This window comes from Homo sapiens, chromosome 20, assembly GCF_000001405.40.
Source record: "Homo sapiens chromosome 20, GRCh38.p14 Primary Assembly".
NCBI classification, from domain to species: Eukaryota; Metazoa; Chordata; class Mammalia; order Primates; family Hominidae; genus Homo; species Homo sapiens.
In genome coordinates, this window is record NC_000020.11 from 16,354,994 (window position 1) to 16,381,665 (window position 26,672).

General features: G+C 41.1%; 1 protein-coding gene across 17 annotated transcripts in view; it reads right to left on the minus strand.

Annotated features, from left to right (window-relative positions):
• The window catches only part of KIF16B (kinesin family member 16B), a 301,345-nt gene that overhangs the window by 82,890 nt on the left and 191,783 nt on the right, over window positions 1-26,672 (minus strand). For 4 of the 17 annotated variants that reach the window (XM_047440262.1, NM_024704.5, XM_005260754.4 and 1 more), the window contains 5 exons: window positions 23,812-25,170; window positions 19,264-19,416; window positions 16,672-16,768; window positions 15,593-15,643; window positions 1,337-1,459 (listed from right to left, as the gene is read on the minus strand). In XM_047440262.1, coding sequence (XP_047296218.1) covers window positions 1,337-1,459; window positions 15,593-15,643; window positions 16,672-16,768; window positions 19,264-19,416; window positions 23,812-25,170 — 1,783 coding nt within the window. Of the gene's footprint in view, window positions 1-1,336; window positions 1,460-11,849; window positions 14,274-15,592; window positions 15,644-16,671; window positions 16,769-19,263; window positions 19,417-23,811; window positions 25,171-26,672 lie in introns of those variants that run through there. The other 13 variants (XM_047440264.1, NM_001199865.2, XM_047440263.1 and 10 more) reach the window with 7 other exon arrangements.

Here is a 26,672-nt window from a genome sequence, read left to right on the forward strand (position 1 = left end):
ATGAAAACCTCAAATATATAAACTGATGCCCTGTTTTTTTTTTTCTTTTCTAACGGAAAACTTAGTATATAGAAATAAAATCCTAAAAGTCTGGTTAGCTAGAAAAGAAGTTATTTACATCATTTCCTCAGGAAGGTTGAAAGAATGTGACATCTGAAAAGAGGGATTCCTCAGAGCCCAGGGCTGCCCTGAGATGCATCAGGGGTGGGGACAGGCAGGGGAGACGGCTGGCTCTAGGCTCCTTCCTCCCTCCCCACTCTGTGTGTGCCCAGCAGCTCTAGGCTTCCCTGCCTTTTACGGTGTCCTTCCACATAAGATATTCTTTGAACAAAGGAGTTTCACAGATAAAATAAAATCTGGAGACCACTGGTACTTTCCAATTTCCTCATTGTATCAGTGGGGAAACTGAGGATCAGATGACTTATGGCTGCTCAGCAAATTGCAGCGGGGTCACAGTCTACAGAACTCAGTGTCCAGATTCATGGTCTGGTGTTGATCTGAACAAAACCACCTACAGCCTCCAAGAACACCCTTATGCATGCACACACTGGTGATCCTAGTGGACTTCATTACATCAATACCCTTGCTGATCCTTGAAGAAAAAGAAGTGTGATTTATCATTACTTTCTTGAGAAGAGGATGGTGGCCAGCAACATTATTTAATAAAGTGTTATGAGTCAATGAAAGCAAATTAGCAAAAAGATGAAGTCATTATTTAGAAAACCATGACGTAAGGAAACAGGCACATCTCTTCCTGAAAAGTTGTATAAATCAAGAAACACTTGAAACAAATGAGGAGGGCTTCCTAATTCATAATAGAAACAACAATGAAAATAGCAGTAGTAATAGCAGCAATAGCTACAATTTACTGTTTATACCAGCCACAAGATGCACACTTTATACGCACTGATATTCCTGTGACATAAATATTATTAGTCTCATTTTTATAGATGAGAAAAATTAAGACTAAGCCCATGGGGAGGGTGACCAACTGTCCTGGTTTGCTCAGGACTGTGGGGTTTCCCAAGGTGTGAAACTTTAAGGGCAGACATTAGGAAAGTCTTGGGCAACCTGGATGGTTGGTCACCCTACCCGTAGGGTGTGGGTGATAGGAATTCCATTTCTGTCTGCCTTACTAACACCTTCTATGAGGTACCTTCCTTCCATGTGTTACAGTCAAGAGTTTTACAGACTGGTTTAAAGAAGGGCAAGACCAAATATTTTACAAACAGGATATTCACATGCAGCTTCATCCCCCTTTTGAAAAAATAAAGACAGATAAAGCACTGCATAGTCTCCAACCTCCATTCTCCAGAAGAGTCAAGAAGACACTCACCTTGACCTCAAACTCGAAGTGTGCATCCTTTCCTTGCCCGCAGAGGACGTAGCGTGGGATACTAATTTTAATTGGGTCCTTCAGGTCATCTGGATTTGCGCCCAAAGAGCGAGAAACCATCCGCTATCAAAGGCATGTCAGACAGGGAGAACAAAGAGAAACCAGAATCACTCCACTGCAAATATCCTGCTCGGGTAGGAGGGAGAAAATGTGTTTCAAGTAGAGAAAAGAGCATCAAACCAGTAGGGTTTATTTAGAAAAATGATGGTTTCCTTTGAAAGAGAAAAGCTAAGCCTCTCTCATAACAAAAAGACCATTATTTTAGGTATACCGTTCCAAGGAGTTAGGGCAAAAGCACTATGAAGTGTTTGGCTTTGAAGTTCCTTCCAATTTATAAGAACAAGTAAAAACAGGGACAAATTATATTATCCTGACTTCTTAAAAAAAATCAGTGTAAACCAGATTGCCTTCTGAAAAGTCTTGACCATCTGACAAACTTTTTTCTTCACACACTATCAGACAGCTATACTTATAAAGCTGCAAAAGCTAGAGATTTTATTCAAATTTACTTCATTTTTAACTTTTAGGCATTTTTATAAGCCAGTGTAGTGTGGAAAGCTCTTTAAACCACAATTAAAACAAATCTCAAGTATTTTCTTTAGGCCCCATTTGATTACTCAACTTGGCTCTGACAAATATTTATGGCCTGGGCAGTGGGGGACTAGTGGGGTCTGAGGAAGAGGCATTATGAAAAAAATAAATCTTCCAAATGAAGTTGTCTTAAGTGTGAATCGGAAGAAATCTCTGAACAATCCTTATTGTTTGCATTAAGCTGGGGGCTTTAGAAAACATATGTTTTTGAAGTAATAGCAATAACAAAATAATTAGAATCATAATTATAGTTAGCATTTATTGGATACTCATTATATGCCAAGGACTACATTAACCAGTTTACATGAATTGGCTCAATTAATCTTCACAATCCCCCCTACGAGGTATTAACCATTATTCACCCTATTTATCAGATGAGAGGCCCAAGACTGAGGGTTGAGCTCACTTGATGGAGGTATGGGGTAGAGTCAAGATTTAAACTCAGGCCAATCTAGAGCCCACTTTCATCACACTACTCTAGATTGCAATCATGAAATTGTACAATAATTACATCCATCTGAGATACATTGAGCTAATGAACACTTCACACATATGTAGGTTTTAAGATGCTGAGAATTCCATGGTTATGCAATGGAACCCACTTATGTGACTATAAAGAAAACAGGGGGCAATAAGCTCCCTTTCTCCCAGACAGAAAGGGTTCTCAGCCAGGTGTAACTTGAGAGTGTCAACTTAGCTGTGTGCATGAAAGCTTGGACTTCCAGAGGACACAAGGACATATAATTTGTTTCAGATTGCTGCTTTTAATCTAGCTGACTATGTGTGCATTTTGGCATGAAGTTTCCGAAGCCTGTTATAGGATCTTAATTTTTCTCTGCATGGCTAGTCACCCAAAGCAAGAAGAATTAATTGTTTATCATAATGGTACACCGATTTAGCTATCCCTGATATCAAAAACCATCAAGAGGCTGGGCACAGTGGCTCACACCTGTAATCCCAGCACCCTGGGAGGCCAAGGCAGGTTGATCAAGAGGTCAGGAGATCGAGACCATCCTGGCTAACATGGTGCAGGCCTGTCTGAACTAAAAATACAAAAAAGTAGTCGGGAGTGGTGGCATGCGCCTGTAGTCCCAGCTACTTGGGAGGCTGAGGCAGGAGAATCACTCGAACCCGGGAGGCAGAGGTTGCAGTGAGCTGAGATCACGCCACTGCACTCCAGCCTGGGCGACAGAGCGAGACTCCATCTCAAAGGAAAAAAAAAATTATATGGGCTTCTGTCACTTGAGGCACATGGCAGTCACACATACACCTGTGAGGGAGATGATCTGAAAGGCAAACTTCATGTTTTTCAGTTTTGCCTAGGGATACCTCCATTTACATACTTGAACCTTTTAGGATCACGTGAATGATCGGGTTCTCAAAAAAGTGTGGACGACAGTATCCACAAGCATAACATACTCTAACTTTATCTGCTTCCCTGACCTAGTCACAGAAAATGGACATGGGATTCCAGGTGATGTTCACTTCAAGACTCAGAAGGAAGGATAAGATGTGGAATCCAATCCTAGTTCTGGGACTTGGTCTTGGAGTAAGTCTCTTGCCCGCTCTTCACCTCAGTTCCCCTATGGAAATGGGCATGGTATTTATTAGATTCCAACTACATGGGAGGGACCCAACTATGAACGCAATGGTACCCCACCCTGTGGGACTTAAGGTCTGAGGCAGACTCTTACAAGTGAACTGGTAATCACAGCAGGATTAGAAAGTTGTGATGGGGGAATGGAGTGAGAACAACTATGAATATGTATCTTGTCATCCAAATGTCAGGAATTTTACTGAGGAAGAACTATGGTCAAAATTGCCTAGGCATGTTCTGTCAGCTAAGCAATGGAGACTTACCTTTGACTTTCTAAATGCCTTTTCTTTTAGGCACCCCTAAGATATATAATGAAACATTGCTATTTTACTGGGTACCACCTATGTGCCACACAGAGGGTCAGGCCTTGGGAATACAATATAACTTTTACAAAGTATTTGTAATTTCTAAGACCTTTAGTTTTTCTCAACTGCACATGTTTGGAACAAACTTTTGATGTTTCTACTCTAGATGGATTATATTCTAAAGGTAGATTTGGGACCTTAACTTTCTCTTTTCATAAGTCAGTTTTTAAAATGAGGTAAGACTGTAACTGACGGTCTGGGTATTTTATGACTGGTGATACGGTTTGGATATTTGTCCCCATCCAAATCTCATGAGGAGTTGTAATAATCTTGGTGTTGGAGGTAGGCCCCGTGGGAGGTGTTTGGGTCACACGGGTGGATCCCTTATGGCTTGGTGCAGTCTTTGTGATAATGAGTGAGTTCTCACCAGATCTGGTCATTTGAAAGCATGTGGCACCTCCCTCACACTCTTTCTCTTGCTCCTGCTCCCACTGTGTGAGATACCTGCTTCCCCTTCACCTTCCACCATGATTGTAATCTTCCTGAGGCTTCCCCAGAATAAGAAGCCAGTGCTATACTTTCTACACAGCCTGCAGAACCATGAGCCAATTAAACCTCTTTTCTTGTAAATTACCCAGTCTTGGGTATTTATAGCAAGGCAAGAACAGACTAATACAACTGCAGAGTTCTCCATTTCTAAGAATGTACCAGGGTAAAACCAATCCCTAATAAAAGGAAAGCTGCTTGAGGCTCAGGATCATAGATTCTTTACAAAAAAAAAAAAAAAAAAAACCCTGCCTTTGACAATTTCACTGGGCAAGTGATTTGAGTAAGGACCAGGTATTTGAGAATGAGTAGATCTTATAATATTACGTAGCCTACCTCAATCTAGGGCAGCCTTTGACACACTAGCAACTGCCTGGACTAATATATGGCCCTTGGCTGGATATAAGAGCTACTGTCCCAAACGGGACCAGACAGTGAAGCATAACAGGATCCTTTGCAGAGAAGAAAGATATTTCTCTCTTCATTACATATCATACTGGGGATGAGAAATACTGCCAGAGTCCCCACTATCATCCTTGGCTACAGTTTACTTCAATCTTACTGATTTCATATGAACTAAATATTAATGAGTGTACAGAAATGAACAGCTACAGAAATGAACAACTAAAATATAAGGTAGGGATCTGAGCAAATGCATAAATAAATTTAAAAATCAAAATGTGTTCCCATCAAATCATCACTGTGGTGTGATTTGTAAACATTATTTTATGAAGTCAATTTCATGAGAAATGTGGAATTCTCAGGGTACAGTGTAAAAAATTCTTGACACTCTCCTAAACTATGTTTATACTGGACAGGAAGTAAAGTTAACATAAATGTCTCTTAAATTTATTTTTGATTTGAAAGTGGCTATATTTTGAGTATGTTGAGGTTTATACTAGACATGCAAATGTTTGCTGTATCCCATTATATCCCATTATTTATGGGAGCTTTTATATTTCGATGGCATTATTTATTTTGGAATCCATCACAGTTTCCCTATATGTGGCAAAAAAGATTCTTAGACTCTGAAGGGAAAGTTGATGGCATTGTAGTAGGAGGTGTGAGGAACACCTCTCTGCAAGCAGAACTGGTGTGGATGAGTACAGAAATAGTATAAGCAATTTTAAATGTGCCATGGAGTGATCCTATTTAGAAATAAAAAGTCAAGAAAAAGTAGATAATTGGTAACTTGAATTACATATCTGTACATAAGAAGTATCTTTAAAAGTTAAATACAAAAAATATTTTTTCTGATAGCTTTTAATGAAATAATGCTCTGTGTCAACAAATACGCTATTTTTCCATTCTTGGTGAAACACTGTAGTCCAGTCCTTAGCTGAAAGAAATAGGCAGAACATAAGGTACATTGTAAATATTCAGTTCAAAGTCTTCTTTTACTACTCAGGCTATTTCCTTCAAAAGGAACAAATTGAGGAAATGAACAGGAAGCGGCACTTACATCCACTCAGATCTCTGCGGGCTCTCAGAGAACATGAAACGGTCCAGGTCCTCAGGGAGTCATTAACAGTTGTCCCTAAACATTCTAATTATGTACCAGACGGTCAAATTCAGTATACACATCATGACAAGGTCTGGCCTAAGGACTGCCATCTAATCTCCAGAAGCCCATAGCCAAGCTTTGCTTCTGAAATACAGGCAAACCTGGCTTTTTATTAGATTTAACAAAATTACAAATTCTCCTGTCCCTGTTCCAACCATAGCACATATTTCTAATCCTTCCTTTTTTCAACTACACATACTATACTGATAGTTCTAATTAGAGCTATTATGTCTCAAGTACCTATTATGCCCCAACAATTTGAAAATGGAGATTTGGGGAAAGAGACGACGAAGATTTGGGGAAAGAGACAATGAAGATTTGTTATAGCCTCAAACATCAGCCAGGTTGTAAGAAACAGGGAACAAAGATAACATGCAGGAACAAGCACAAATGATGTATATGGTAAATAACCAGACAGGTTCCTATCCATTTCCAGTAGAGAAGCCTGCCTTTGCTATGAGGGGATCTTGTCTTAATTAACACTACACTGTCTTCGAAGGCTTGGCAAATACATCTGATTTGGATTTTGCCAAGACGTGGCCATATATGCTACAGATACATCCTGTCCATCCCTGTGAAGGATGGGACTTAACAATAGCCTGGTGTGGAGAAACAGTGCTAACCTTATCTCATTTCTAAAGTGAGTCTGGAAGACTCACATCAGGAAACAAATACAAGTTTTGATATATATCCTGAGGGATAAGTTACCCAGAAGATGGCAAACTGTTGGACATTGGTACTTGTAGAATATCTTAAGTTTAGCGGCCTTTGGATAACTCCAAAAGGTTTAGTTGACATTTCCAATCCATGATTCTCACCAGAATCAATTATTTCTTCTACATAGATCTGAGCCGACCAACATTGTTTCAAGGTTTGGAAATATTGAATATTGGATGAATGTTTCAACTTGAAACTATTAAAAGTGTCACTATTTTTCTCTAGATCACCAAAGATCATTGTATTAAGTGGTCATCATCTTTGAACAATGTATCAATTAACGGCTGATTTTAAAAAGATTAAATATGGGGTCTATTATACCTGACTGATAATGTCGCAACAACTGCTAAGTGGCTCTCACTATTAAGCATGAATGCAGACAGGTTAGGACCCTCAGGGAAAAGTGGATATTCTCCCTTCTATTATAATTGTACAATGTCATTGATTAATCATGAAAAGTACCACTGATGTTCACTCACTGATTTTTTGCTGAGCCCTGGCTTTGGGTCAAACCATGCTGAATGCTAAGGCCCAGGAGAAAATAAAAGGCAGGGATGCACTTCCAGCCAAAGAAGCAAAAGTAAACATACAAACTTATGTGCATCAAATTCACGCTATGACTGTGTCTAAGCTTTCTTTTACAGAGCTAAAAAAGCAGAGCGCAAAGAGAAGTAAGATCCATGCAAGGAAATAAAAGGAATTGAAAAGAAACTTGTAAGGCAATCCTTGAAAACAACAACTCATACAGACAGAATTATTAATGTCTAGAATTCCAAGAAAACAAATTTACAGGTCAGTTAAGAATCAACTTAGCAATACTTGGAAATATATATTTCTAGCATAGTCATTCCTATAAAAAAATCAATAAAAAATTTTACCAATGTCAAGAATAACAGTGACTATGAAATGGCTTTGGCACTGTGGACAAATATATATATTCTAGAGTAGAAAAGTCTAGATTTAAGTCCCAATTCTCAACCTAGTAATCCTTTTTGAGTCTAAATTTCCAAATCTGAAATGGAGTTCCACGTGAATTCCTACATTCCAGTAGGATCACCATAAATATCAAAAGGAACAAAATATGAGCAAGAAGTCCTACATTGTAAACCACAATATAAACAGTGACTGGGATTGCTGTCACCCCTATAACCCACTACACCTTCAGCAACAAAAGATTTTAACCAGATAGTAAAAGGCAGGAGGAGTGACTTATAATAGAATCTCTTTCCTTCTCATCAACTAGTTTATTCAATTCCATCCCTCATAAAGAAGGCATTAGCATACTACAACACTGCATCCTTAACAAGAGATTTGATGGTGATGGTTTGAAAAATGTACTGTTTAAGAAACAGTGGAGAGACGGAAGGGTGTTGGAGGTAAAGGAGAAAAATCAGAGGAGGCAGATATATGAGAAGTGTCTTCTCTGAAGGGTTGTGTATAATGCAGATTACAAAATACACTTGTTTTATTCTGCAACAGAGGGTGCCACGGATGAACAGACTCTGCAGATGGAGATCACAATAAGGGAGATTACGGAAAGAATAGTGTAACAGTAAGAGCAGCTCCCAATGAAAAAACTGCTTCAGAGGTAGAAGGCAATCAGCCCATCCATGGAGGTACTCAAATTGAATATGTAACTTAAAAGGTCCTAGGGCATACTCTTCCCGGTACCTTAATGTTTCCATTAGGGAGAAGTCCTACAAGTTTTATCTGAGTCTTATCTGTAATAGAGCTTTGGGAACCTTGACATAATACATCCATGGAAAATTAATTGCCGGTCCTAATTCTTCTCTCCCTATAGTAGTAGTACATATCCTGAGTCTCACCATGGCCTCTTGATGGACGGAGGGTACTTCCTTGCCCCTTGATTTGGGGCTTGGTCATGTGACTTGTGTTGGCCAATGAGATGTTAGCAGACACAGGCAAAGGCTTGCAGGACTGCCCTTCTGTGTTTCTGTCATCACCACGATGGCTACTGCCCCTTCTGAATAGGTCCCAAAATGATATGTGTGGAGCAGACCGACCCTGGTTGAGCAACAGATGACCTGCAGCGTACAGCACAGCCACTCCAATCTACTTGCAAAGCAGCAGAATAAAATAAAAACTTTTTTTAATGTGCCACTGAAATTTGGGGGGGTTGTTTGTTATTTGGCAATTGCAGACTGATATAACATCTGTCACAATAGATATTCTAAGGAATGAGGCAGAGTTGTCTAAGCTACATACTGGAAATTGTGTAACTAAATTAACAAAATGACCTCATTAGAAACTGGTCTATCCAATAAGCCGGGTTGATCATCAAAGGAGCATTAATAAAAGTGGCTCTAATCTATTTATCATACAAAGCTTTAAATCATCTGGGAAAGAGAATGTAAGCAAAAATTACTGTAATTACTACTGCTGGAAGGCTTAAGTACTCTCTTCCAAAGGGATGCATGCACATTTTTAAAGTAATGAGAACAGGGAGACACACTGTTTTGAAATGTTTTTCAACAAAGACTAAATAAATTCATCCTGCCAACCACAAGTCTGTAAAACAGGCAGCTGTGCACAAAATGGATTTTAATCAAATTCAGATGAAATCACTATTTCAAAAGTATTCAAAGAGCTATTGTCTAGAATGTATTAAGAAGTCCCACAATATAAATGTTTATGCCTATATTATAACAATGCAGAATGCCACATAACCAAGATGTATGCGTCTATTTTTTTCTGATTCAGAAACTCATTACAGCCGAGATGTCGTTATAGCAGGCTGAATACTCAGACTCTCATAGTTGCTCCACTCTAGGGGTGCTGTAGGCTTAGAACTCCTGAAGAAACGAGCAGAGGGAGCTCCTAGGATTGAAGCCACAGCAGAGGGAGCTACTAGGATTGAAATCACAGTGGATAATGGCACCAACAATACTCCACTGGCTTCCACAGGCATCACGACAACCTTAATACTTACTTCACAGAGAGTAAATCAAACTCTCACACAGAGGAACTATATTTTATCTCGAGGTACAAAGTATGCTTAGGTGAGAGAAGTGACATGCTGAATCTGAATGCTGCAAGCTGCTTCTATTATGTGGTACAATCTGAACATGATCCTCATTGTGGCCTTCTTAGATCATAAAGCAGACTGCAGAAGTTATAATGAGTGATATGATTTTTATACGATGCTCGTATCTGCTGCATGTTCCATCTCTGAGAAATCCTAAAGGCCATGATTTACAACATGGTGGAATTATGCTTCTGTACCTGTGCGAATAAGCACATCTGTCTAATATTTAACACTCTTTGTTAAAATTATGTACAGTTTATTTATCACTCCCTTCTTCCTGACCATGGCATCCCTCTGCTGGCATCTTAAAATTTATTCCCTCTGCCCTTCATAATCATTAATTGTTTTTCTTTCTTTCTTTTTTAACTTGGACAAGACTACTGCAGTATAACTCTTTTTCTTATCAAGAAAATATGAGAAAATACTGGATGGAACAACTTGAAAAAAGGAATGCAAAATATATTAGTTTTAAAAAGTTAAAAAAATAAAAATAAATTAGGAGAAATATTATTAAGATATTAGAAAACTATCATGGTACATTTTAGGAGTGTTTGTTCATGAGGGAAGATGACCTACCAACCAAGATAATGACAAATTAGTGACTATTTTTAATGATGTCCTCATCAAAGAGTTAAAAGCCTTTAGGTATAAGGTAATAAGGTATTTATGTGTGGGGGTAGGGGGTGCTTTGGAAATGAAAAACATGAGAATCCAATTGCCTCAAAAAACCAAATGCCTCCACTGGTCAGAAGCACACATGGCTGCAGCCACCAGTCTGTGGATCGTAACACATTCTCCAATTCCCTGTCTTTTCCTGTTCATGTCTGCAACACTAGGTAGAGGAAAATAGGTGGGAATGTAGACCCAGTGTGGGTAGCTTGTCATTTCCTCCGTCAGGGGAAAGAGGGAAGATGAGCAGTTCCTGGCCAAAGGAAGATGGTAAGTTTCTGTGTGTGTTAAGCTTTGACACCATCTCCGTCATTGGTTAGGAACAGAAATGAAGAAGGCACTACAACATTTATGTTGCACTTATCCAAATATTTGACCAGAATAGAAAATGCCCCTTCCATGCCACGAGAATCACTGACTCACTCAGCTGCATCCAACGTCCACTGAGAGCTACTGTGGGCTAAAGATGGTTTGGCTGAGAGTGGATGGAGGGTGGGCTGAGCAAGACAGAAGCACGTCTCCTTCCTTCTGAGAACTCTAGATTTAGGAGAACACACACCTGAGAGGGGAGAACAGTGGCAGAGCACCTAGGGTCAGGTGAAATTAAAAACAAATACAAAATATGTAACCTGATAGGATTTTTGGACAGAGGGGGACAGAGAGGAAAGGGTTGATCAGAGGAGCTAGAGACCCTGAAGAGCACAGTTTGCAGCCTCTTACCTAGGAGGAGGCAGCTGACTACTGGGTGGAGCTTCATGGAGAGAGAAGCTCCACCCTGGGCAGATGCAGCAGGGAACTCGCCTGAGAAGGGAGGCCAGCAAACTGACCAGCTGGGGCCAGTAGGAGACCTCAATCAAAGGTTATAAGTGGTGGCTGGGTGAGATGCCAGAGGAAGGTACCTCTAAGGGGACTATATATTTGACAAGACAGCAGAAAGAAGCCACGAGAGAAAGTGAGACTCTGAGATAAAGAGACTTACAGGATAGAGAGACAAAAGTTCTGAGAAAGAACTGGAATATGGTGGTGGTGAGGGATACGGGTTAGGTGGAATAGCCACAAATACACCAAGTGAGGAGCTGAAATCGCAAGAGTTAAAAGGGAATCATCAAGAAGTATGAAAGGAGGAAGGTAAAGGCAATTAAGTGAGGAAGAAGACACTGCAGGGCATGCATCACTGTCTCGATTCCGCATACCATGGTGATGGGAGGACACTTTCAATCCCCGGGTCCTCATAGGAAGCTTGATGCATCACTAATGTGCTCTGCTACATAATTATCCTAATCACAGCTGAAACCAAGGATGTCAATGAAGGTCACTGCTAGACTGGGCACTTTTTCAGGCAGCACAGATTAGCCTGCTGGAATCCAGTAGGCACAGACAGATTCCAAGCCACCACACTATAAATCGACACGAAAACAAACAATCAGAAATGCTTTAATCACCTCACAAATAATGAAGCAGGCACAAATTTACAAGCCTGAGTTTCAAGAAAATGAAGCAAGGTGATGATAAAGATATTTTATTGGGGCTCTGCTATTAGCTGTTTTTATTTTATTGTAGATATTTAAAATATTTACATTTTCAATTTTAGAGGTCTGCATTTTTCCAGTTCCAATTCAATTAGCTACACGGAGATATTCATATTGCCTTGACTGTTTTCACAATGCTTATTTTATTAATGATCTCAAAAAACATGTAGTGCATCTTTAAAAGTCTCCTCCTTAGAGTCTTGTCAAATGTGAGATTAGCCAAAGAGCCTCATCTTGAGAATTGAAAGTAAGTTTCCAGACCTCAGGTGCGACATTCTGACTGCCTTGAAGATACAATGGGGTGGTGAACAACTGGACATTTGGGGCTTCCTGAAGGTGCTCAGGTGGACTATTTCTGGAACCCACTGAAGGTTTGAGTTTCTGTAAGAAGACTAGTTCTACTGTTGACACATTTTTCTTTTCTGGAACAACAACACACCTGAATTCACTTAAAGCATGGCATTTGATCACATCAAATTGTGCACCCGGAGGAGGTATGTTTCGAGATCGAATGCGTGGATAAAAAACACAGTCTTCCTTCACCAGTGCAATGTGGGTGTTCAGAAGGACTAGCGACTGGCACTGGTCATGGCCAGAGTCACCCATGACTTTCACTGTTGTGTAGAGCAGTAACTGAACTTCTGCCAGGGAAGGGACATTGACTTCCATATTTCCATGAAGAAAGTAAATCATGTCAACCAAGGTAGTCTGGAATTTGGATGACACCTGAACTCCATTTGGCAAAACTAAATCAGGGATTTCTGTTTTCCAATCAAGAGAAAGCTGAACCAGATCTTGCTGGAGCAAGGGATGATTAGCGCAGGCAGCGGCATCAGGCTCTGGCATCAGGACACACAGGAGGTCACGACACAGCTGTTGAGAGAGGTATTTGTTGTAACTGAATACAGTGAGCAGAAGACCCTCTGCAGAGCTCAGGAATCGAACACTCTGTCCACCAAAGCCAATCTGAATCTCCTGTAGACCAGAGAGAGGTAGAGCATGAAAAATGCTCATTGAGCCGAGATTATCTGACAGGACCAAAGCATATAAAGTTGACTGAAGCAGGAGCAAACACGCTGGTTGAGGGTCAGGTGCTGTGCAGGCAGCAACAGCAAGCCAGTAAATGCCTTTGACTTCCTTCATGTTGCCCAAAGGTTCTGGTAGAGAACAAGTCACATGCCTAAGAAGGTCTTTTAAAGGGCACTCTTGCAGTTTCAGCATTTGGTCCGGGAATTGCACAAGGCTCTGCTTAAATGCAGAGCTCTTTCTAGCATCTTCATATTCAAGGCGAAAAACTGAGCTTGGCGAGGAACCTGGTAAACCTGTAGCTGCAAAGACAGAGGCCCGGTAAGGCGCCGCACCCTCTGCTGGCCTCAGGCTCCCTGCAGCTTCGCTCTCGCTGCTGCCAACCCGAGCTTCCGGAGAATGAGATTCTGTTGACTGCATGTCAGTCTTCAAGGGCATGTGTGGGGCTAAGTGCTTCAGAAATGGCAGGCTTCTGACGAATGTTGTTACCTGGGAGGGGAGCCCCCTCGGGGCACACAGATTCCCCACAAGCCTGGCTTGGCTGATCACCTTTGTGCCAGCCTGAAGCAGGTGACTGCTGGTATCTTTATAAAGGTCTGAGAACTTGTGGTAAAAATATCCCAGTCCATTGTTTCCTTCTGTTCTGATATTTACCAGTGACTCCGATGAGCTCATTTTTTTAGCATCCAACTCTTCCTCACCTTGCTGCTCACTATAAAACTCAGACGCCAGTACGCTCTGCGGGGCACTGCAGGATGCTCTCTCCTCATGGGAAATGCCTTCAGACAGAACCAAGCAGAGCACCTTGCCTTGCCTGGCCTGCTTGCCTCCGCTATTTATAGACACTTCTTGGGACGTATGTTGCAGCAAAGTCCAACTGGACTTGACTCTCAAGCCATGTTTATCTTTATGAGTCATCAGCTCACTGAAATTTTCTGACTGACTCTGAAAATCTTCTGCATCATCGGTGTTACTTTCGTTAAGAAAAGAGATTTTAGGTAGATTAAAACATTTTGGTTCAAAATGGCCAGCATGCTCAGGATGACCATATTTGTTTTCACTGTCCTGGAATACCTCGGGTACTGAGGACTGATCCCTCTGCTGGTGAGTTCTCTCTTGTGATGCTGAGGAAGTTGTTTTAGGGCCTGAGACGCTCCACAGCATGGGATGATCCCAGTGGTCGTTCTGATCCACCTCCCTCCTCTCCTCTTTAATGAGGCTGGAAGTGTCAGTGGCATCTCTGGGCAGAAGCGGGTCAAGATACCATGCTGGGCAAAACTGCCTTTTCTGTTCAAGGTGTCAAAAAAAGTTGAAATGGGGATGTGGTATCTCTTTCTGTGATTCTTTTGCACATGATGATTCTTGTCATTGGTTTCATTGGGTAGATTAATTCAGAGGTTAAATAAAAAGTCTAAGCCATTTGTATTGATACATGATTAAAGAATCGATTATCTGATTCATACATAGAACATCAATTTTCCATATTATATATATATTATAAATCACTGAGAATTTTGATAGAAATACTTTGTATGGGGTTGATCCACAGTACCCACGTCTTGATCTAATATTTCATTTTCCCTACAATAAATTCCAAGCCCTCTGATTCAATGTTTAGAAGGTCAAATTTAGTTATGAAAATAAGTCCATGATCATATGTCCAAAATGCAATCAAGGCAAACTTAATGAAAATCAGATGGCAAGGCCAAAAGAAATGCCCAAGTGTTCTAACCCAGGTTACATTTCTCTCTCCTTTTGGTTTGTTTCATGGGGATCAAATGTTCCCATGAACATTAACAGTAATTATCATTACTCTTATCTACAAGTCATCACCATGGAAGGACTACTGTGCACCTGCTATGTGCCAGGTACTATGGACACAAAGAAATGAAAGCCAGTGTCTTGCTCTGTAGAGGAGGGAAATGGCTATCCAGGGAAAGATCACATCATTACTGGATGACTGGCAGGAGGGTGTGGCTGCGGCCAAAGTCAGCTCAGCCTCTGTGAACATCCACCTCTTGCTGTCTGTTCAGTAATGTATGGACACCATCTGGAAAATTTCCATCACCTACTATTTTTTGGGGGTTGATTTTTTAAAATTTAGGAATATATGGGAGAGACATGCCTCTCAGTGGAGGAGAATACCAGTGAAACCTTACAAATTGCATGCCCAAATAAACCTTGGTTTGACAATCCACCAGAGAAACAAGTTAATCAATCAAGAGTATTTCCTTTATACTACTACCAACTCACAGTCTATAAAATGGACAGGAGGAGTACTGAGTTTCATTTCCAAACCCCATATCTGATTCTGATTATATAATTCTGCCTTTTAAATGCAGACCAAGGGAAAATATACTATTACAAATGAAAAACTGGGCAAAGCTCCACCACAGCTACATGCCATTCAAATAAAGTCAAAGCAGTTTCAAACTACAGGATTCCGTTTAATTTTAAGTCCATATAATAGCTTGCCTTCCCTATTAGCCATTAATCTTGCCGGGACCTCAAAATTCTAATTATGCAACTAGACATTAAGAAAATGTAATCACATGAGCATGCCATAATTTAAGGCGACCCTATCAATCTGAAAAATCATTACCTACCTCATATTTTAGTTTACGTTGAATGGTGCCATTGTGAAGTTTCTCATTATCCTGAAAAGAAAAGAAAAAGCCCTCTATATTAAATTATAGCAAGTTCACGGGGCGGGGGACTGATTCGATTACAAGTATTTATGGGAATGGAAATCTAAATAAACATACTTGTCATTCAACAATGACAACCCTTCTATATAATTTACATCCCCAAGATAAACATGACTCTATTGATCCATCTGCCATCAGAGAACTGAAACACTTACTCCTAATCTTAAAATTCTAAGAATAATATTAAAAACAAGATCTCCTTAGGGCATTTCTTAATTTGCAGGATAGAAATGCATTGTCTTTATTTCAGTATAGACTTGTCACAAATATGTATCTTCTAAAAGTCAAAATTCTATTTATATTTTGGATAATTTACAAAATAAATAACTACGGAAATTGGAAGTATTTTGGAAGAAAACAGAAGAATGTTGCATGTAGAATTAAAAAGTATTTTAGACTTTATAATCACTTAAAAGTTGTCATAATTACAAAATTATAAAATAAAGTTACTCCTGAATTCCTGAATTAATACTATTTATAAACTGTTACACTCTGCCCAAGCAATATTTAATATTTTTTTCTAGAACATTCCACATCTGAATTTTCTCACTGGAAAACAAAAGACCCCACCACTACCACCAAAAACTTATCTTCAAGGTCATCTTGAAAGACAAATGGGCTGAGTGTGGTGGCTCACACCTGTAATCCCAGCACTTTGGGAAGCCGAGATGGGCAGATCACTTGAGGTCAGGAGTTTGAGACAAGCCTGGCTAACATGGTGGTAGAAACCCTGTTTCTACTAAAAATACAAAAATTAGCCAGGTGTGGTGGCAGGCGCCTATAGTCCCAGCTACTTGGGAGGCTGAGGCATGAGAGTTGTTTGAACTGGGAGGTGGAGGTTGCAGTGAGCCAAGATGGTGCCACTGCACTCCAGCTTAGGTGACAGAACAAGACTCAGTCTCAAAAAAAAAAAAAAAAAGGAAAAAAGAAAGATGAACGAACTTGTTACTTCGTGTTACTTGGCTCCTTCAGCTTACCTTCATCGTGTCTGCAGATGTACTGCAGCCTTCACTAATCACACGATGCAAATCCTGAAGGCGTCTTTGGACTTCTTCTTCAATGTAAGCATTGATCCTGTAACACAATGGAGATGGAGTAGATCTGACACTTCTAACCACACAGGACATTCTGAGATCCTCTCTTTACTACGCCCTTCACAACAGGGAGCAATCTCCTTCTAAATACCAAACCTAACAACAACTTGAGAACTTCAACATTTTTATTTTTTTCAAGAAATCTGGTGCTACATGTTCACTATCTGGGTTTTGCCCAAATGAGGTAGAACTGAACAAGTAATAGAATATTGGGAATGGAAAGGAGACTAAGTGATCCCATCCACGTCCTTAGTGGAATGCCCGCTGCAGGATGGAAGAAAATCAGTCACTGGCTTCAGAAGGCTCTGCGGTCTCTAATCTGATGCCAAGACAGAATATTTCATTCAGAGCCTTGGGTTCCTCATACAGAAAAGGATAATACAGATGATAGTTATTTCTCACATCTCAAGGTCATGTATGAGGATTACCAAAAAAGAAAAAAATAATAAGCAAGAAATGGACATGCTCTCTACAAATCTTCCTCATTCAGATTGAACAGCGTCTAGCACACTTGTATTCCCGGTCTGTCTCGTCTCTCCAAATGGGTTCTCTGTACCTGGCCAGCAAGACCACATCGTAAAGGTCTCTACCTTCCAAAATGCCTAGGACAGGCCCAAAACAGAGATGAAGCCAAACACCACTGACTTTTGAAGCAGTGTCAACTTATTATCTGATATCTCATAAAATGTAGGTGAAGTTGTATGAAGCAAAACTATCAGCCTTGACCACCTCAGTGGATTTTGGTCTAATCTCTGGTCATTCCACCTCAATGTTTTTAGGTCATTCCACCTGGAGGAAACAGAGAGACTAGAGAATTTTATCTTCATCGAAAATCTTTGTAATGGCAGAGACTGCCCAAATGGAAGTCATTCTGTTCTAGACTCCCCTCCTCCAATTCTACAGGTACTGATTAGATGCATTATTATTATTTTTGAGACAGAGTCTCGCTCTTGTCTCTCAGCCTGGAGGGCTGTGGTATGATCTTGGCTCACTGCAACCTCCGCCTCCTGGGTTCAAGTGAGTCTCCTGCCTCAGCCTCCCAGGTAGCTGGGATTACAGGCACCCGCCACCACACCCGGCTAATTTTCATATTTTTAGTAGAGACAGGGTTTCACTATGTTGGTCAGGCTGGTCTTGAACTCCTGACCTCAGGTGATCTGCCTGGCTCGGCCTCTCGAAGTGCTGGGATTATAGGCGTCAGCCACCATGCCCGGCCGGATGGATTATTTTAAATTAAATGGTTTCCATGTTTATATCTTATCACATTCACTAAATAAATAAGTAAATCTGCATAAACACATGCATAATCCTGCAATCATTTCTATACTACTGACCACAGAGAAAAGATTTTCTAAAATGCTAGGCAAAGAGATTAAAATTTTAGGTAAAAGAGCCCAAATAAAGCACAATGTTTCTGTTTCAATATTGAAAACAAAATTGTGTGCTACTGAACATGAGTGAAGGCCATTTACAATTTATCACCCCTGATAGTCACTTAAATTTGAAAGTAACCCTGTGAGATATGAGGCTCATGCCATTCTGAGTACATTTTGATATCCAAATATATATCTCCTAATATCTAGGGTTCAAGACTGTCCGATTTCAAATGCTCCCATGTTTAAATGGAGTGAAGAAGGGTAATCATTGTTTTCTTACAGGCAAAGAATAATTAAGCTGATTTTTCTAAGGGCTCTAAGCCACAGAGCAATACACAATGCCACCTAAGTTGAAAATCACTTAACTAAAGTAACATCAGATACAGATTTATTATACTCACAATCATTCTGAATATACTAGTAGTTTTTATAACAAACTTCATCTATTTGTAATCCATGACACATAAATTAACTGTCAACACAAGGTCCTTCTTCTTGGTACAGTTAATTCTAGGTCTTCGTTTTTGTCAACCTGGCCTTGCCTCACTTTGTGCTGGATGAGCTGCTTTCCCTGCAACTTTTCATTCCGCCCTCTCACTCAAACCACACTTGACCCTTGAACAACACAGGTTTGAACAGCACATGTCCACTTACATGTCAGTTTTTTCCAATAAATACAGCTGGACCTCCCTATTAGTGGTTCCACATCCACAACTATACAAAGATTGAAAATACATGGAGGGCAACTTTTTCTAACCGCAGGTTCCAGAGGGCTAACAGGTGGACTTGAGGATGTGTGGATTTTGTATCAAAGAGCCATCCTGAAACCAATCCTCTGCAGATATCAAGGGACAACTGTACCTGCAACAAGATTCCTTGGATCTGGCTAGCCAGGTCTCAAGTCCTTGATTTTCTTGAAATGACCCCTTACCCTACCACTGGCAGGCCAATGGCAGATGAAGGCAGAGCACATCTCAAGCACGTGTATTACTTGTTGCCCTTAATAGAGCCCTCCAGATACAAAGTAGTTCAACAGAGAAACAATGAGTCCTTGAGTCACATCAAATGAGAAGCCTGGAATCACTTTCATGTCCAGTACCTGGCATCCATGAGGGGAACCAGGTGTGATTTTTCAGCACTGACTGGCAAGCTGGAAGAAGCCACCTTCCCTTCCAGGGTCCCATGATGATCTTTTTGAACACCATCGACCTCATAAATCTTCTGTTTCAGCTGCTGGATTTCATATTCTAACCTACACAGATAGGAGCCACATAATTCATTCATTAATAGTATTTCCCGAGCATCCTTACTGTGTGAGACATTGCTTTAGATAGCATGGGGGAACAAGATCTGTCCTCTGTGTGCAAAGAACTTTACCTTCTAGTAGAAAAGGTGCCACATACCCATAAGACAAGACATAAAGTGCCATGGGCCACAAGAAGGGTCCAGGACGAGCACTGCAGGCATCCAGAAGGTAGAGTAATTTTGACTACCAAGAGCAAAGATCTCTCCACTGTGCTCCAAGCAAGTCCTAGAGGTAGGTGTATAGGATTCTGAGGCCTCTAACTGCTGCTTCAAAAAGAGTTGGTTGTGGACTACACATCAGGGTTCTGGTAAATACTTACGTTTGATGAAAAAGATCTATGTTTTAAAGAGTTTTAAAAACCACCAATCTAGGAGAAATTTCATAGCCATGGCAGTTCTAAGTTGAGTCTCCAGAGGCCAGTGGGAATGTTGTCATTTGGAGATGACGGCAGAAGATTATCTAAGTGCAGAAAGCAATACGAGCAATGGGGCAAGGGCATGAAAACCAGGCATCCACTTTGGGCTAAGGCAGAGGGCATGGGAAGGGGAAGCAGAAAAGACAGGCCTAGGAAAGTAGGTTGAGTTCCATGAGAAACTAAAATAAACCATAAAATTAACCTCCAGTGATAAGTGATACATCTATATGAGGTCAAATGTGTGTAAGGTCATTCTCCCACCGGCCCAGGCATACTTGAATCCAGCCCCATCAGGCCAGAGGGCCAACCTTGCCAGTGAATTTGGCCCCAGGAAGCAGGAGACTGCAGTCCACTCACTGTGTGAGCTTGGGGAAGTTATTTAAACACGGGTCTCAATTTCTTCATGGATCAAATGAGAGCGTCAACTAATCTCCCTCAATTCCTTCAGCTCTAAAAATCAGAGATTCTGGCTTCAGATGCCAACACACCATGATGCTGTCAACCCTCTGGTGTCACCAGCAGCAATTTGACTGCTCTATCTTGAACATGAAAGCCAAGTTCTGAATTTTCAGAAATGGATCACAGGGTCATGAGGGTAAGCACTCATGGGACCCACACGAGGCTGTGCCCAGTTTAACTCAGCCCTTTCTGGGTTTATTGATTAGCAAGTACTTCTAGAGCATCAATTTGTGGAACACACAGTATTTTCAAAAGACAAGACATAAGCAAAAAAAAAAAAATGATGTCAGAGGCCTGGTGGTGGCCAAATAATTGGGGAGCAATATTAATAGGGTATCATCAATGGCCAAAAAAAAAAAAAAATGAGCTGGATGTAGGCAGGCAATTAGCAATGTTTACAGTTAAGAAAACTCCTGCTGGGGTTGTTAAGAATTGTCCTTCAGCACAGGGCCAATGGCCAGTGGAAAAGACTCCACAGAGCAAAGAAGGGTTTGAGAGGTATCCTGAAGTCTGAGTGAGATTTATATGGATGGCAAGGGACAAGCTGGCCTTCCCGTGTGGCAGATACATGGTCAGAAGACTAGAGGGCTAAGTGGATCAGAGATGGGTGATGAGATTGAGATCTGACTTGCAACTCTGCCACTTTCTAACTGTGTGACACTCATCCCCAGTGGTTATACAACCACTGCAGGCTTCAGCTTCCTCATGTGTAAACTGTAGACGATGGCACCCTTTATTGGAAGAGTAAATGACAATGCACACACAGCATTTAAAGCAGGATCTGAGGTACACAGAGTTATTCTTCATGGTTTTCATCATGACTATTATCATCGTCATTGTTAAAGGACTCTGACAAGAAAACAGGATTAAGTGTGAGTATTAACAACTTGCCTCTGTTATCCCTGCTATGGTGATGGGAGGTATTTCTAGTTGGGTTACCTGATCCATGTCAATGGGGCAGCTGGAATGAGCAGGTGGTAGGAAAAAAGGCAGGAAAATGGATTAAACCTGGTTCATAAAGCACTGAGAAGGCAATGGGAGAGCCAAGTTCAGGACACTGTTGTCCAGTCTGGTCCCACATGAATTTAATATTTCACACTTGTGGAATTTTACGAGGGGCCAAGTCAGGCTGCACGGTGAATCCTGGCTTAGCCGTGAGAACCCTGGGAGAAAATGAAGCACAACAGAAATTCCCATAGAAAGCTGCGGGGGTATCGCAGTCAGAGCAGAGAGCCCGGAATCCGTCGGCCTGAATTAGGACTTAGCTAAGTCTATTTCATCAAAACTCATGAAGCTAACAGCCCCCTTTACTTGGCTTCTGAAGGAACACTCCCATTGTGTAATCACTTCCGTGGAAACTGCAATACTGTGTCTGCTATTATACAGTATTAATACTAAATGGCCAGGTGACAAAAGCCAAGGACATCAAGCTAAAAGCTCATGCTGCATTCTTATTGCACACTACAGGCTACAAATTGAGAGTGTGCCCTCCACTACTTTAAAGTTCCTGGGGCTGGATCTTTGTCTAGCAATTTCATTTACATAACATACCTGCAATCATTTTTTTAAACCTCCAACCTATTTCTCTGAAATAACAGCATTAGGGTTTTTGATTGTTATTTTGTTGCTGTTTTGCCTGAGGGAACTACCAGACAGCGATGGTAAATGTAATCCATAGCATAAGCCAATCATTTGAATGGAGGTTGTCCTGAACTTTTCAGGCAATGTGATGGGTGAAGCTACAGTAACACTTCTGAGTAGGTCTTCCTTGTTATCAGCAACCAGCCCCATGCATCAGCTAAATGCCAAGGTGGGGTCTCCTGGCCAGTACACTGGACTTCTGTTGAAGCCCCCTTAGGAGGTGCTGTGGGTGGGGGGAGTACTGCGGAGAGGGCAAGGTTTCATCTCTCCAATCTGAGCTTCAGTTAAGATCTCAACTGAGCAGGGAGTGGTGGCTCATGACTATAATCCCGGCACTTTAGGAGGCTCAGGTGGGAGAACTGCTTGAACCTAGGAGTTTGAGACCAGACTGGGCAACACAGGGAAACCCCATCTCTAAAAAAATAAAATACATAAAATAAATAAATAAATAAATAAATAGCCAGGCATGGTAGTATGCACCTGGGGTCCCAGCCACTTGGGTGGCTGGGGCAGGAGGATTGCTTGAGCCCAGGAGTTTGAGGCTGCAGTGAGCTATGATCACACTACTGCACTCCAGCCTGGACCCAGAGCAAGACCCTGTGATCTCATCCATCCTCTTCTTGTACAAGTGGTGACACTGAGGCCCAGTGATGAAAGATCCTGCCCAAGGTAGGAACATGCTACCATCTTGATAGGAAGGGGCTGAACCAGGCCATAAATTCCTCTTGCAAGTCTCCAAATTGGGTGATGTTTGCATCACCCAGGTGGCTGTTGGCCTTTCTGTGAGTCTTGCCATCAAGTCTTCAAGGCTCCAGAAAAGGTGTCCTCAAATTCACATAATATGCATTTTGAGAACTTATGGTCTGGTAAGTATGGTGACAGAAAATAGGTGAAGGAAGATAAATATTCTTACCTTACAAGACAAGAGTGCTAATTTCCTAGTTTTATTTTTCACAACAACAAAAATACTATCAGTAAATCACCAAACATGTTCTAATATCCCACTGTGTTCAGAATTATCTGGAGTTTTGTTTGTTGGTTCGGTTGACTGTTTTATAATGCAGAGTCCTGAGGCCTTCTCTTAAATACTGTGACTCAATAGGGGTGGGAGAAGTATTGATTTTTTCATTCCCAACATGTTGCAGAAATCAGTAGCCTGTATGCAAACCATGAACCCAGGGATGATACTTATTTCAACAAGTGCTGGTCATGGAGAAGATGTGAAATCATTAGTAAGAAAGGGCAGGGAAGTAGAGATGGAAAGAGGTGAGGGAGGAGGGAAGAAAATAGGGAGAGAAGGAAAGAGACAGGGAGCAAGTCAGAGAGGGGCAAGGAGGGAAGGAAGAAAGGGGAGGGAGAGGAAAGAGAGAGGGCAAAGGAAGAGAAAGGAGGAGGAAATAGATGCAATGGAAGGGAGAGGAGGGAACTGAAGGGGAAGAAGAAAGGGGAAAGAGAGGGAGACAGGCAAGGGAGATAAGAAAGAAGGAGAAATCAAAGTGGAAACTTTCTAGTCTTGCATTTATCAAAATATTAAAACACGCACATTCCATAGGACAGTGGGATAATGTACATGGGCTTTGCTTTTGTTTGTGTGTTTTTCAACTCTAGGCTAACAATTCTAAAAGAAGGACACTAAGGAGAAATACAAGAAGTTTAGGAGTACTTTTCTCAGTTCTGGCAAATATAAGCATTTGCCTATGTATTAAAGAATATGAAGGCTAAAAGAATAAGTTAAAAAAAAAAAAGGATAAACACAACATGAGGAGTGAAAAATGAGCACTCATTTGGCACCCACTGTATGCCACACCCTTCCTTCCCAATCTCACCTCTCCTGGTCCTTCTCCAGGGCTTCCTGCTCAGCCTCCAGGCTAGCCTGGAGCCCTGACTGCTCTCTGCTGCCACTGTTCAGACTGGCAAGTTTCTGCCTCTGCTCTTCAATCTCCATGCCCAGGGTGGAGTGCCTCTGCAGCGCAGAATGTCTCCTCTCCAGCCTGGCCAGGGCCCGCTCCAGCGCCTCTCTCTGCTGCTTCTCTCTGGACTCCAAAATCTCCTTTTCCTTTTTCCTCACTTTTTCCTCCTGACGTGCAATGTTGGCAGTGAATTCAAAGGTGGCTTGGAGCTTTTGCAGCTGGTTTGCATTGGCCTGGTACTGTGCAAGCTGTTCTTCTTTTTCTTCCATTTCCTTTTCTACTTGATAAAGAGTGTTGTCTAAGCTGAGAGGGCCTCTGTCAAGAATTTCAAATGCTCTCTGCTTTTCTTCCAACAGAGTTGGCAAGTGATTCTGCAGGAGGTACTGTAGCTGGCGTTCTTTATATTGCAGCCTGTACTCCACTGGCTTTATTTTCTCGAAATCTTGAGGCACTTCCGTGACATCTGTGACACTCTCATCATGTTTTTCCAACAATCTAGATTCTTTGTCATGTTCACATTTTAAACACTCTAGGATCTCCTGTTCTTCTTGGACTTCTTTTTTCAGGATGTCTTTCTGCTGAACCAGGTCCTTCTCCAAGTTCACTAGCTTGACAAGCTGCCTTCTCTTGAATTCGAAGAAACGCAGTTGAGCCTTTTCTAACTCCTCGCCATCTTCATCCCCTCCGGCACGAGCCTCCTTCACCCGCAGGAGGGATTCCCGAATGCCTTCCAGGTCCCTCTTCTCCTCTTCCACCCACTGTACCTCCCCACGCCGCAGGAGCTGGATCATCTCCTGCTTCTCTCGGAGCTGCTCTTCCAGATGGGCCACGAGCATGACCTGCTCCTTCTCCTGCTCCTCTAGTCTCTTTTTTTCCAGTTCAAGCTTGGCATACTGTTCATCTTTTTCCTTTTGGAGCTGGTCCAGTTCTTGAAATATCTGAAACTTCTCAGCCTTCTCGTTGTTGTTGAGTTCTTTGAGTCGTTGGAGTTCTTCTTGGACGCGGAGAAAGGTCTCTTCTTCTTGTCTCTTCTTCTGCAGCTCGATTTCCTGCTGTTCCCTCAGCCTCTCCTCTTCAAATTTTTCCTTCTCCGCAAGTAAATCCTTTAGCTTGTTCTCGATGTGGAAGCTGCGGCGTTTGAGGCTCTCCTCCTGCTTGCGAATCTGGAGCTGCACGATTTCTGTCTCCTTGCGCTGGGTCTCCACCTCCTGCTGCATCCGCTCCAGTTCAGCCTTGTCTGATTTCTGCTTTTCCTCCATTTCTTCTATGAGTTTCCTGAAATGCAAAGCACTGACTGGTTGTTATCTGGTCATTGTTCAAATGTTGCTCTAACTTTACTGAAATGTTCTGAAAATGCACATACAACCAGGTCAAAGCCTCCATTAAAATAAAAAAAAGAAGAGTAACTGCTTTCCTTTAAATTTCCAGCAGCATCCTGTTTAATTTTTTTTATTTTTTAACTGTCCAACATATCACCTGCCTATTCTCCTGAAGTGGCTTCTGATATCATTTCTTTGTAGAGCATATAATCATAATGTGTTATGCATGATATAATTTTAAAAGGCCCCTGAGCTCAAAGAGAAAGAACCATGCCCAATTTAAATTAAATGTGAATAACTTTATTCAGCCCAATGACTAAAACTCAACAGAAGTTGTTACAAGACAACATTAAATAAAAATGCTTATGCTGTCCTCATCTCATTGGGGTCAAATATCAAAGTCATGATAATCGACAGTTCATTGTTCCAGCTAAAAAATACATACTATTTAGCATTTAATCACTAGTTTGGGACAAATGGTGATCACCAAATGGTCCAAAATGTTAGTTTATTAGTGCATAACACTGAAAACAACTGGAGCCTCCATTGGAATATACAAAATGCATAATTTTGCAGGCTGGTGGGGAGGTGACATGTTGTGTTTTCTGTTGGAGAACAAATGATCTCCACTGGGTACTGTACTGAAGTTTAGGGTTGGGATGGCCTCCAGAGGAAGAACACAGAGTTAGAGCAGGAATACTGGGCTTCCACCTCCTGACCCACCAAACGTCTATCTTGGATGATGCTGGAAACTAAGCCAGTTTATTTGTGACATTTAAACTCCAGGTCCTACTAAATAAACATTTACTTTGCAGATTTTCTATAGCCTTAGTTTTTACTCTAACTCTCATCTTTGGTCTACGTCTTGGCTGGTTAAATAGGACAGGAAAAACAGAAAAGGAGAAAATACAGTTTTATCAGGTAAAGAATTATTTCAGAACATATAAAGAACTGCCCAAATCAATTAAACAGCCATTTCTCCCTCCACCCTGCCCCCCCATACACAAAAGAAAAGTGAGCAAAGAATAAGAAAAGCAAATTATACATGGGGAAATACAAATGGCCAAACAATATCAGGAAAGATGTTTTAAAAGCAGGCAGGTAGAAGGAAGGCAAATTGTCATTCTTCAGGCTTTTTAAAAACTCAGGGGATATTATTAAGAGAAGATCTACTTTTGATTAAATTTAAATGAATACATTTTGGTGTATTAAATTTAATTGGTGTGTTAAATTTGCCTACTGACTCTATTTCCCATTTCTCATAAATATTTGAAGATGAACGTTTAAAAAAATTTAAACTTGAAGAAAAACCATCTACTCCAAAAAAAAAAAAAAAAGACCTGCAGTCATTAGACATGTAAATAACAGATAACAGACACAGAGCAAGGGGGAAGTATTGAAGCAGACACAGATGGAATCAGTCCAGGATATTAACACAGGAATCCAGACTACAGGAGT